Source organism: Homo sapiens, chromosome 15 (genome assembly GCF_000001405.40).
Source record: "Homo sapiens chromosome 15, GRCh38.p14 Primary Assembly".
NCBI lineage: Eukaryota > Metazoa > Chordata > Mammalia > Primates > Hominidae > Homo > Homo sapiens.
The window spans coordinates 96,752,448-96,765,622 of NC_000015.10; the positions used below are offsets into that span (position 1 = coordinate 96,752,448).

General features: G+C 39.2%; 1 pseudogene; it reads left to right on the plus strand.

Moving 5' to 3' along the window:
- The first annotated feature begins 4,404 nt into the window (after nt 1-4,404).
- On the plus strand, nt 4,405-6,145 carry FAM149B1P1 (family with sequence similarity 149 member B1 pseudogene 1; annotated as a pseudogene).

Consider the following 13,175-nt stretch of genomic DNA (forward strand, 5'->3'; position numbering starts at 1 on the left):
ACTGACTGCACTCTTGGGCATTTGTTCCAGAGAAACGAAGATTATTTTCACACAAAAACCTGTAGCTGAATGTTTATGAAAGTTTTATTTGTAATAGCCCAAAACTGAGCAACCAAGGTTTCCTTCAATTGGCAAATGTTAAATGAACTGTTGTACATCTATACCACAGAATACGACTCAACAATCAAAAGGAACAAACTACTAATGAATGTGACAATCTGAATGAATCTTCAGAGAATTATTCTGAAGGGAGAAAGCCAATCTCACCTAGTTACATATATTGCTTCATTTATATAACATTCTTGAAATAATAAAATGATAGACATAGAAAACAGATTAGTGATTGTCAGGGGTTATGGAGGGGTTTGGTGCAGGAATATAAGTGGTTGTAGCTACAAAAAGGCAACACGAGGGATCGGTGTGGTGATGGAGGTCTTTTGACTGTATCAAGGTTGATATTCTGGTTAAAATTTTCTACTATACTTTTGCAATATGCTACCAATGGGAGAAACTGTAATGTGTACACACACATGATCTTTATTATTTCTTACAACTGTATCTAAATCTACAATCATATCCAAATAAAGAGTTTGAGTTAGTTGACTGTCTAAAAACTGATATCATTTTATTGTATGTAAAATAAAATTCATAACAAAAATAGGACAAAAAATGAGAAATTAGAAGAATATTGTGGTTTGATTCTCATAAAGTTATTTGAAGGTAAAAGATTATATTAAAGTCAGATATGGTAAATCTTAGGACAACCACTAGAGAAAAGGCAGTAGAGGAAGAAAAATAAAGTAAAAATTACTATATTAATCCAAAAGAAGGCAGAAAAGGGGTTGAAAGGGGAGAATGGATAATATGTTAGTAAGTACAACTGAAAAGATTAGGTAGATTAAAAGAAAACCATTTCAAGTTAAGATGAAGGAAAGAATCTAAAGAGCTGTGAGGCAAAAGCACCAGGTAACCTATAGAGGAAAACCTATCAGGTTAACAGCAGATTTCTCAGTAGAAACCCTACAAGCTAGAAGGAATTGGGGCCCTATCTTCAGCCTCCTTAAACAAAAAGATTACCAGCCAAGAATTTGTATCCAGTGAAACTAAGCATCATATATGAAGGTAAGATACAGTCTTTCTCGACAAACAAATGCTGAGAGAATTCGCCATTACCAAGATACCACTACAAGAACTGCTAAGAGAAGCTCTAAATCTTGAAACAAATCCTGAAACACATCAAAACAGAACCTCTTTAAAGCATATAAATCACATAGGGCCTATTAAAAAAAATGCAAGTTCCACAATGGTTGAACTAGTTTACAGTCCCACCAACAGTGTAAAAGTGTTCCTATTTCTCCACATCCTCTCCAGCACCTGTTGTTTCCTGACTTTTTAATGATTGCCATTCTAACTGGTGTGAGATGGTATCTCATTGTGGTTTTGATTTGCATTTCTCTGATGGCCAGTGATGGTGAGCATTTTTTCATGTGTTTTTTGGCTGCATAAATGTCTTCTTTTGAGAAGTGTCCGTTCATGTCCTTCGCCCACTTTTTGATGGGGTTGTTTGTTTTTTTCTTGTAAATTTGTTTGAGTTCATTGTAGATTCTGGATATTAGCCCTATGTCAGATGAGTAGGTTGCAAAAATTTTCTCCCATTTTGTAGGTTGCCTGTTCACTCTGATGGTAGTTTCTTTTGCTGTGCAGAAGCTCTTTAGTTTAATTAGATCCCATTTGTCAATTTTGGCTTTTGTTGCCATTGCTTTTGGTGTTTTAGACATGAAGTCCTTGCCCATGCCTATGTCCTGAATGGTAATGCCTATGTTTTCTTCTAGGGTTTTTACGGTTTTAGGTCTAACGTTTAAGTCTTTAATCCATCTTGAATTAATTTTTGTATAAGGTGTAAGGAAGGGATGCAGTTTCAGCTTTCTACATATGGCCAGCCGGTCGGAAGTCAGTGTGGTGATTCCTCAGGGATCTAGAACTAGAAATACCATTTGACCCAGCCATCCCATTACTGGTATATACCCAAAGGACTATAAATCGTGCTGCTATAAAGACACATGCACACGCATGTTTATTGCGGCACTATTCACAATAGCAAAGACCTGGAACCAACCCAAATGTCCATCAATGATAGACTGGATTAAGAAAATGTGGCACATATACACCATGGAATACTATGCAGCCATAAAAAAGGATGAGTTCATGTCCTTTGTAGGGACATGGATAAAATTGGAAATCATCATTCTCAGTAGACTATCGCAAGCACAAAAAACCAAACACTGCATATTCTCACTCATAGGTGGGAATTGAACAATGAGAACACATGGACACAGGAAGGGGAACATCACACTCTGGGGACTGTTGTGGGGTGGGGGGAGGGGGAGGGATAGCTTTAGGAGATATACCTAATGCTAAATGACGAGTTAATGGGTGCAGCACACCAGCATGGCACATGTATACATATGTAACTAACCTGCACATTGTGCACATGTACCCTAAAACTTAAAGTATAATAATAATGAAAAAAAAGAAAGGTGCTAGAAATTGTATATCATGTGTAAATTATTATAAACATTGACTGATACCCCACACCATACACAAAAATCAGCTCAAAATAAATTTATCCCTAAATGTAAAACCTGAAACTATAAAACCTATCCTAGGAAATATGGAAGAAAATCTTTGTAATTCACTAGGCAAAGATTCTTAAATACAACACCAAATGCATGAATAATGAAAGAACAAAATTGACAAATTATAGTTTATTAAGTTCAGACCTTTTGCTCTTCAAAGTACACTGCTATGAAAATGGAAAGGCAAATCATAGGCTGGGGAAAATATATTTGCAAATACATATCTGGTAAAAGACATATTCTGTGTGTATTTAAAAAGCTCTTAAAACTCAATAAATGGAAAACAAAATCCCTAATGAAAATTGGACAAAAGATTTGAACTGAAACTTTACTGATGTTTTGTCTATACCAAAGAAGAGACAGGGATAGCACATATGCACATGAAAAGTTGCTCAAGATTATTATTAGTAATCAAAAAACAGATTAAATCCATGCTAAACTACCATTACACATGTATTGGAATGATTAAAACTAAAACAACAACAAAAACTCTGACAATAAATACTAAGTGTTGGCAAGGAGCTAAACAATGACACTCTCATAAATGTTTTATTTGTATTATCATCGTAATGCAATTTTCTTAGATACTGCCTTTTCCACCACCATTGCTGGTGAAAAAGGCAGTTCCTTAAAAAGTTAAACATGCCGGGCATGGTGGCTCATGTCTGTAATCCCAGCACTTTGGGAGGCCAAGGCAGGCGGATCACGAGGTCAGGAGTTCAAGACCAGCCTGACCAACATGGTGAAACCCTGTCTCTACTAAAAATACAAAAATTAGCGGGCTTGGTGGCATGTGCCTGTAATCCCAGCTATTCGGCAGGAGAATCGCTTGAACCCAGGAGGCTGAGGTTGCGGTGAGCCGAGATCGCGCCACTGTACTCCAGCCTGGGGACAGAAGGAGACTCTATCTCAAAAAAAAAAAAAAAAAAAATTAAACACATGACCTCAATTCCACTCCTGGGAGAATGAATGCACATGTCCATATAGCTAAATATATTTGAATGGTCTGGCAGATTTTATACTTACCAAATCTGGAAACATACCAGATATCCATTAATCAGTGAATGAAAAATTAATGGTAAATACATACCAGCAATAGTATACTATTAGGCAATAAAAAGGAAGCAATGACCAATACATGCAACAGTGATCACTCTCAAAAGCACTGTGGCAAGTGAAAATCGGACCAAAAAGGCGAAGTGGCAGCTGCAAAAATTCAACATTCCTATCTCTTTCAGGAGCTTCTGCTTCGGGGATCATAATCCACTGGCAGCCTCTGTGGGGCCCCTTTGGATCAGTCCTCACATTCATGCATGTTACTTGAGAAAAAAACTTAAATTTGCTTTGGAATAAATTAAACTACTGCATATTTGACATTCTGCATTTAGAAATGGAAAAAAATATTCTGTAAGGAATGTAACTGTGACTATTTCTCTCTACTGAGAATAATTTGAACTTTTAGCCTCTTACTGAAGTTAATCACACTTGATCTCTTGAGAAAAAATGTTTTTAACATTAAACAATACTCCACTGAGATTTATCAAACTCTATTTTAATTGTAATTGATTTATACCAAAAGATAAAATGAGTTAATTAGGGCATGCTATTAGAAATACTAGCAAGGGAAGAAAGCAGGGAGGTCGGAGGACTGGAGAGGTGGGGACCCTGGGGAGGTGGCGGCTCGGAGTCTAGGCGACGACGGGGCGAGATGGGGCCAGTAGGTGGTGGGAGGGGGCCGGGTGGGAGCCAGCGGGAGGGCCAGGCCCGGAGGCCCCCAACCTGGCGTGCCCGCCTGGGCCGAGGCTGAGGAGGAGGAGGAGGAGGAAAAGGAGGAGGAGGAGGAGGAAAAGGAGGAGGAGGAGGAGGGGGAGGAGGAGGAGCAGGAGGAGGAAGAGGAGGGGGATCTCCAGATACACTCGGGAAGGCGATGCCACAGAGCTTGGAGCTGAAAGGAATAACAAAACATGCTCTTAACCATCATCTCCCTCCCGAGAAGCTGGAGGAAATTTCCCCCACCAGTGACAGTCATGAGAAAGACATAAGTTCCCAAAGCGAGTCTGACATCACAAGAGAATCACCTTTTACATCAGCCGATGCTGGGAATTCACTGTCTGCTTTTCCAAGTTATACAGGCGCAGGGATATCTACTGAAGGCAACTCAGACTTCTCCTGGGAATATGGTGAACTCGATCAAAATGCCACTGAAAAAGCCTAGGCAATGTTCACAGCCATTGATGAACCCTTGTATGAGCAGAAGTTGAGTGTGCATACCAAGAGTCTACAAGAAGAGCGCCAACAGTGGACAGCTAGCTTTCCTCACCTCAGGATTCTAGGTAGGCAGATAATCATTCCAAGTGAAGGTTATAGATTGTATCCTAGATCCCCTTCTGCTGTTTCAGCTTCATATGAAACAACCTTGTCTCAAGAAAGAGATTCTACTATATTTGGTATAAGGGGAAAGAAGTTACATTTTTCATCTTCGTATGCTCATAAAGCATCTTCTATTGCCAAATCCTCCAGCTTTTCTTTTATGGAAAGAGACGAGGAAGACTCTATAATCATCTCCGAAGGAATAATTGAGGAATACCTAGCATTCGATTGCACAGATATGGAAGAGGGATTTCATGGGAAGAAATCAGAAGCAGCTACAGAGAAACAGAAATTAGGGTATCCTCCCATTGCTCCATTTTACTGCATGAAAGAAGATGTCCTTGTTTATGTGTTTGACAATGTATGGAGCAAGGTTGTGAGCTGTATGGAGCAGTTGACACGTAGTCACTGGGAAGGATTTGCCCACCATGATGAGAGTAATGTTGCAGTTACCAGACCCGTTTCAGAAAGTTTCTGTGTGCTGAGTGAGCCACATCCTTTGGTGTTACCACGAGTGCCACAGTCTAAGGTGCTGTCCGTTACCTCAAATCCAATGAGTCTCTGTCAAGCAAGTAGTCATCAGCCAAATGTTAATGGTCTCTTGGTTTATGGGATGCCTCTACAGCCAAGAAATCTCTCCCTAATGGACAAGCTCCTAGATCTTGATGACAAGCTACTTATGAGGCCTGGGTCCAGTACCATCCTTTCAACTCGAAATTGGCCAAATCGAGCTGTGGAGTTTTTAGTACATCATCTCTGTCATACACAGTGCAGTCCACCAAGAGACGCAATCCATCGCCACGAACCCTTCATCCGATCAGCACAAGCCATTCACGTGCTGGAATACCAAGACTTGTGGAAGAAATCCTCAGAGGAGCCCGAGTCCCAGCGGCAGCCAACTGGCTCTCCTCTCCCTCACCAATGTCCCTGAGTCGAAATAATCTGCTACCACCTACTAGCACAGCTGAAGTGGAACTTGTGAGCACTGTGGGGCCACAAAGACAGACGGAGCCCCGTGGCGACTCCAGTCGAGCTCCAAGTGTGGTGGTGGATGAACTTAACTATCAGCAGCCACAAGAAAGGCTCCTTTTGCCCAACTTTTTCTCCAGGCCCAACACAACTCAATCATTTTTGGTAGAGTGACATACTTCCTAGAATGAGCTCGATGGTTGGGGAAAGAAAAGGTGGGGGGAATAGTAGTTTGGCAGACTTAAGACTTTATCTAGAGGATTAACTCAGAATAAAAGTTGAGTTTCTAACAATAAAAAAAAAGTACTAGCAAGGGAATACAGTTGGTACAACTAGCAATGAGCGGGTATGAAATGAAAGATTATCTTAAAATTTGGAACAAAATAAATTTTAAATTGTATATTTTTGTTTTAAAAACTACTTAAAAAAATATCTAGGCCTATAAGGATTAAAATTTTATTCTTGTACAAAATACTTTTCATATCCAGAGCATATCATTTTCTATTAAAAAATACACCAAGTACCACCTGTACTTTGGTCAATGACAACCATGTATTCATTTGACACAGGGAATTCCACCTTGGTTTGAGCCATATCTCTGCACATAGGAGAAACTACTTATTTACAATTGCTGCTCAACTGCTACAGCAGCAGGAAGGGTGCCTCGGTGTCTTGTTATCCTTATTTCTCTAGGTTTTCACTCTTCCTTAATTGTTTCCCAGGTACCCATTTTTATTTCTAGGGAACCGGGCATTGCCAGGAAGGGCAAAGCCTAGGACCCATAGTTTTAGGACTGAAGTAAGAAAGGACTTCATGGAGGCAGAGTCATTTCAGTATAGCAATCCGGACAACACCATTTCTTGCTTTTCCCTCACAGGCATAATAAACACCCTGAGATAAGTGAAAAATAATTAGAAATAGCAGCAAAGAGATGATGGTGAAGAGGAACTATTTAAGAAATAATGAACAAGATTTAATAAGTGACACTGATATCAGATTGAACATATATCCATATCTAGATATGTTGAGTGAAACCTAATGGCTTCAAAGACATCCATGTTCCTTCAAAGGACATGATCTCGTTCTTTTTAATGGTTGCATAGTATTCCATGATGTATATTTTCTTTATCCAGTCTACCACTGATGGACATTTAGATTGATTCCATGTCTTTGCTGTTGAACATACACCTACCATGTGTCTTTAATGTAGAACAATTTATATTTCTTTGGGTATATACCCAGTAATGGGATTGTTGGGTCAAATGTTAGTTCTGTTTTTAGCTCTTTGAGGAGTTCCCACACTGCGAAAAGCAGTTTTATTTATCTCAAGAAAACATAGTCATTGAATATTCTTAATAGATTACATGATTTTGTACTTGTCAATTTTTGTTTTCTTTAGAAGGAGCATGCATCCCCATGTGGATAAATGCCACCTGAGCCATAGCTTTAGCATTTTGTATCCTTGAACCTCCTTCTTAACCTAAAGATACATAACCTGAAAAGGCCTAGCAAATGAAAATCCTTTAATTCTTGACATAGATGAAGCTCAGCACATTGTTTGTGAGGACCTAAGGTATAAAAAAAAAAAATCATTAATTCAAACTTAGTCTTGAGTGGGAGATGCCTCCATGATTACTTACTAAAATGTCTTCTGTCTTTAAGGATACTTTTAAGAAAAAGAAAAATAGGAAAACTGCAAATATTGATATTGCAATAAAGGGAAGAAAATTATAGCTACTGCCTGGTAAAAGGAAGCTTGTTTATACAGGATTTCAAAAACTTTAGATCTATTATCTACATAAAAAGAAGAGTCGTCCGGGCGTGGTGCCTCACGCCTGTAATCCCAGCACTTTGGGAGGCTGAGGCAGGCAGATCACGAGGTCAGGAGATAGAGACCATTCTGGCTAACACGGTGAAACCCCGTCTCTACTAAAAAATGCAAACAATTAGCCTGGCGTGGTGGCGGGTGCCTGTAGTCCCAGCTACTCAGGAGGCTGAGGCAGGAGAATGGTGTGAACTGGGGAGGCGGAGCTTGCCACTGCATTCCAGCCTGGGTGACAGAGCGAGACTCCGTCTCAAAAAAAAAAAAAAAAAAAGAAGAGTTAACCATATCAATTCAGTGATCTCCAATATGAAATGTAAACCTTTACAGTTTTCATCAAAAGAAGAAATTTCATTATTAGCTTGCATATTCCTGTACTTAAGGAATAACAAGAGATTTCCAGCAAACCATTTCTTATTTGTTAAGAATCATTGGCTCTCTTATGTTTTGTGGGTTTTATTAAAATTTTCTATTTTGCTGCTAATTATGTTTTCACCTTGTTTGGGACTAACATATGTAAACCTGACCCTTGTATTTAGAAACACACAAAGCATGGAAATGGGGATGGCAATGTAGTGTTTCTGATTAACAAAGGCACAACCTGACCTTACAACTTAGCACTCATCCAGTTCTATGGTAAATACAACCATATTACACAGTGTGCCTCAATCTGCAGGAATCTTAGGTCATGACCATTCTAGAAGTCTTTGGATCACCAGTTGTGCCCTCAACAGTGTTTTGTTTCCACCTGAACATCCCAAGTGAAGTCATTATTGGTGATCGTATTTATGGTTCTCCTGAGTTTCATGATAACAATTTGAAAATGTCAACATCTGAGTTTTATGAGATTAAACTGTGCATGATCCTCTATTTGTCTTATTAATCTTGACTAAGATTTGCTACAAAAAGATGAAATTTAGCATCCTTGCCAAATTTTGTGGGCTCAGTTTTCTGAGCCCACAAAATTTACATCATCAGTTTATCCTGCTGTGGACTTAGCTAGTAACACTGTTTCAACTTCTGCTTTTCTAAAAAAAAAACCAGAGTAGAATGAAAGAGAAGAGGGGAAATTAATAGTTGATCATCCCTAATATTTTCAAATGTGTTCGTATTACTTTAATTTTAGCTGAAAAGGTAGCACTCTCCCTATTTGACAGAAGATAAAATGCAAGTCCCTAAAGCCAAACATTCTCAGCATCAGCCGTGAAAAGATAAGAGTTGAGATTTGATCTAGTTCTGAGTTTCCAAACCCTGGTGATACCATTGCCCCATTCTGAAAAGAAGAGATAAAGGAAAACAGTTTTTTATGTTCTTAATTTTTTTATTTTAAAGAATAAAATACACACTGTCAGGCTCCACTTTATACAATTCACCCTTCTCTCTCCTGCTGATGAAAGAATCCACTACTTCAGGGAGAGCAGTGTAATCGGTCCAGGTGCTAGAATGTCATTATGCTGCCATACTCTCAGGAAGGGCACTTCTGTCCTAATGGGACGTTAGGACAAGGCACTGAGGTTTGATCCCAGAACTGCAGAGAACTCCAGAAGTTTCACTTGTTGAAAATACTTTTCATAATAGCATTGAGCAATTCGTAATCATATAACATGCCTGACATGATTGCAAATTTGTTGACAGATTATCAGAAAGAGTACTATGTTTTTTATTCGGCTCTTGATTCATAAGTTCTTTTACACTTGGAAAAATAGAGGGCTGGAATCTCATATAGCTTCCTGCATTTCTGACATTATATCAGACCCACATATTTGTGCAGCCCAGGTGTGCTAGGAAGTGGTAGACAACTACATTGGTCTTGGAAATGACTAACATATTAATTATAGATGAATTAATCTAATATACAGTCAAGATGATGTGTATCAGACACTTGACTGGTTATTTAAACACATTTTTCTCTTTAAAATACAAAACATACATATTTCTCACAGGACATAGAAAATGTTTTCTGTGGTATAAATTTTAAATTCTTATAAAGCATTTACAACAATGTTTGACCCATACTTAAAACAACAATAACAGCTATTATTTATCAAATGCTTAATATGTTCCGGGTACTTCATGTATATTATCTCACTCCACGAGGTGTGTATCACCATATCCATTTTACTGACGACACAATTTTTTTTGTGGTTAATTAAGTAAGTGGCAGAGCTGGGAGTTTTCATTTATTCAACAAATATTTTTGAATGCCTAGCACTAGGCATATGAGTATCTGAACAATATGATGTGTTATATTCTTGTGTAAAGTATTGTATCTATGAATTATATGCATTTTACGATGTGTCAAAATGTTTTATCCTGATATATGCATTGGGAGCAAGAAAATGTTGGTTTGGATTCAAGTACTTTATTCAAACAAACTGGGAGGCTCATTTTATTCCCAAATCACTGGATTTTAGTTTACAGGACTCCTCTGCCTCCATTCTCTCCCTATGCTCCTTACCAGAAGTGACCTCTCTCTGGGACACCCACCAACTTCCTGTCATTACTTTAGGATTGGCTCTTGGCCTCTCTTCTTCATTATTCCAAATCCAAGCCATTTGCCAACATTTTGGTCTTAGAGCCTCAACTTCCTCAGCACAGTAACTTGCAACAGCACTCCATTTCATATGGGCCTGGTTATATACAATTTTGCTAAGCTTCCAAGAGTTTTTCCAACTTCCAAATCTTAAATCCAGAGCTTTGTCTTCTGGTGACATCTTTATGTGTTACTTTTCCTATTGTCTTCTGTCAACTGAGCCTACTCTTATTCCCCCAGATACAGATAGGTTTATCTTGGAATGCTTATTTCTGAAGTCTAGGGTAATTAAAACAGGATATGATGTCTATTTTCAAAATGGTCTCACAGCAAGTAAGTAACAGAACTAAAATTTTCCATCAGTTTCTATCTGTCAGGTCAATTATTCCGAGCCTCAGTTTCTTTAGAAAATAAAGGGATTGGATTTGATCATCTCCAAGGCCTTTCTCATCTTTAATATCCTGTAAAAAGAAAGTCTGATTATCTTTCTGCCGTACCTGGCAAGCCTAGGTAGCCAATTAGGAAGCAAGGATAAAGGTACCTAAAATGTCTACTTTCTTTTCCTTTTTATGTAATGAATGGCTGTGGCCAGGACCCTCTTGTTTCTGGGATAAGTCTCTTATTTGAACAGAACATTTAACACAGAAGATTTTCAAAGTATGTGGGTTTTGTGTCTATCAAAAAAGAAAACACGCACTCCAACCAGTGAATCCACCATTCAATGAGGCAGAGAACTGCCCTCTGGAAAGCAACCAGCATCTCAAGGGAGTATTTTAAGCACATCCCAGTGTTCATTCTAAACGTGTATTACCTTCACTGTAGAAGAGTTTGGGGTTTATAAGTGAGGAAATACCATTTTATATGCAGAGAGGATCACACAACTGTGGCAGAATAGAAATTACTTTTTCAAATTTTCTAAAGTAAAACCTCGAAAGAAATATCTATTTCTATACAACCTTATTGTCATTTTCTCTAAAGTCACTCATCTAGTTATTTTAAATTGGTTCTGAAACACAATCATACATTCAAAAACCTAGTAACAGGCTCTCTTGAATGCACTAGAGCAGTAAATATTAGTTTCGATTAAACATTAATCCAAAGGATATTATTTCACTCTCTTAAGCCTCATTGAGGTTCATTATTAGAAAACACGCCTTCAATATCTCATTTTACATTCTCACTCTAAAACTGTATCATGAATGTAAATTTATTTTATGATCCATTCTTAATCAGTTCAAGAGTTTATACTCATAAATTGGTTAAAATATTTTAAAATTGCATTTGTTCTAATTGCTTCAATAGAACAGAAAATATAAATTTAATATTTTTGGTATTTTTCTCACCATAAATTAAGCTTTTATAACTTTTAGCAGTTTTGTGGGATAGAATTAACCAAGATTTTTCTTTAAGATTTCTTCAATTGCTTCATGCATGGAAAAGACTCTCCCAAGCTGTGGTTATATAGATACATATTATTGTATTCTATTATTTTAAAAAACTTTTAACACTCCTTAAATAATCCATCCAATTTAATATATGGAAGTTTTCTGAAAAATTATTCTGGTTAATGGACTTTCTACCACAACATGAATGCAAACATTATAAGCAGCAACTTTTGCTATTTCAGACGTTTATATAGACATCTATTGTTGACCTAGGTCTTCATTGATCTACCTGTATGATTGACATACTGCTGTCAATGGAATGTCTGCAAAGATTATTGAAATATGCAAATAACCGGCCAATGAAAAAAAATAGGGGAGAGAGGGTGCATCCCTGCAGCCCCGCACGACGGGCCCGCCGCCTTTGGTGACCCCCGCCCCCCTCCGGCCTCAGGGTGGGTGGCGGCCAGCGCGCCAAGACCCTCGGGAGCCCCGCCCAGAGCCTGCTCCGCTCTCAGGCCGCCCAGGCTAGCCAGCCGCCAGCCGCGCTCGCCCATGGAGATCCTAGACGAGTTCGACAGGGGGAAGCTCCAAGAATCCTTCCCAAAGACACCTGGAGAGGGCTGAAAGGAGGGAGAGAGGCTCAAAAACACGTGCCCTGTTGCCCGTACGGGCTTGGGACTGGCCAAGGACAGGGGCCAGTTGTCAGGCACTACTCATAAACTAGGGATGAGCTTTGCCCCTGGTGCAGGGACACGCACACAAGTGTGTGGTTTAAGCATGTATGTGCCAGTGTGCTGGATGCAATGCATTCTACACAACCGTGGCCACAATGTTGCTACCTCTGTTGCCTCCCCTGCTGGAGATTCTTCACACTGGTGATGCCAAAGTGCCTTGCTTGATTCCCCTTCTCGAGTTTGGAGTCCCAGCGAAGCTGCTGACCAAGATATCTCTAGGCTTTCACGCGGCCTGAGGACAGCCTGAGTCGGTCTCTGGGAGTCTAGCCCAGTGACTGCAAACTCTCAGTTGGGTGATTCAGTGCAGTGTTAATTGAGGCCAAGGCAAACACCTGTGGTTAAGATGCGCAAAGGCTGTTTTACTCTTTGACACTGCCCAGACCCGTTTCTAAAAATCAGAGGCATAAGAGACACAAAGCCTCATTTTCTCTCTCACAATATATGTGTGATGGTTGAAGTCATACAAAGCTGCCAGCCTTGGACTCACATTCAGACTCCCTGGGCTTGGCAGGAGAAGTCCTCAGTTCTGGATATTTTCTATGGTCCAGGCCCTTGGCTGTGTGCTGCAGAGAGATACTCATCAGACACAGAAACTACACTCGAGGAGTTTTCTTGCAATATATGGAGTAAGGGTTTCAGCAACTCTGGAGACCCCCTCTAACATGTTCCTTTAGGACAGAAAATAATCAGACTTTCAAACTAGGAAACACTGACTCCCATAAAATT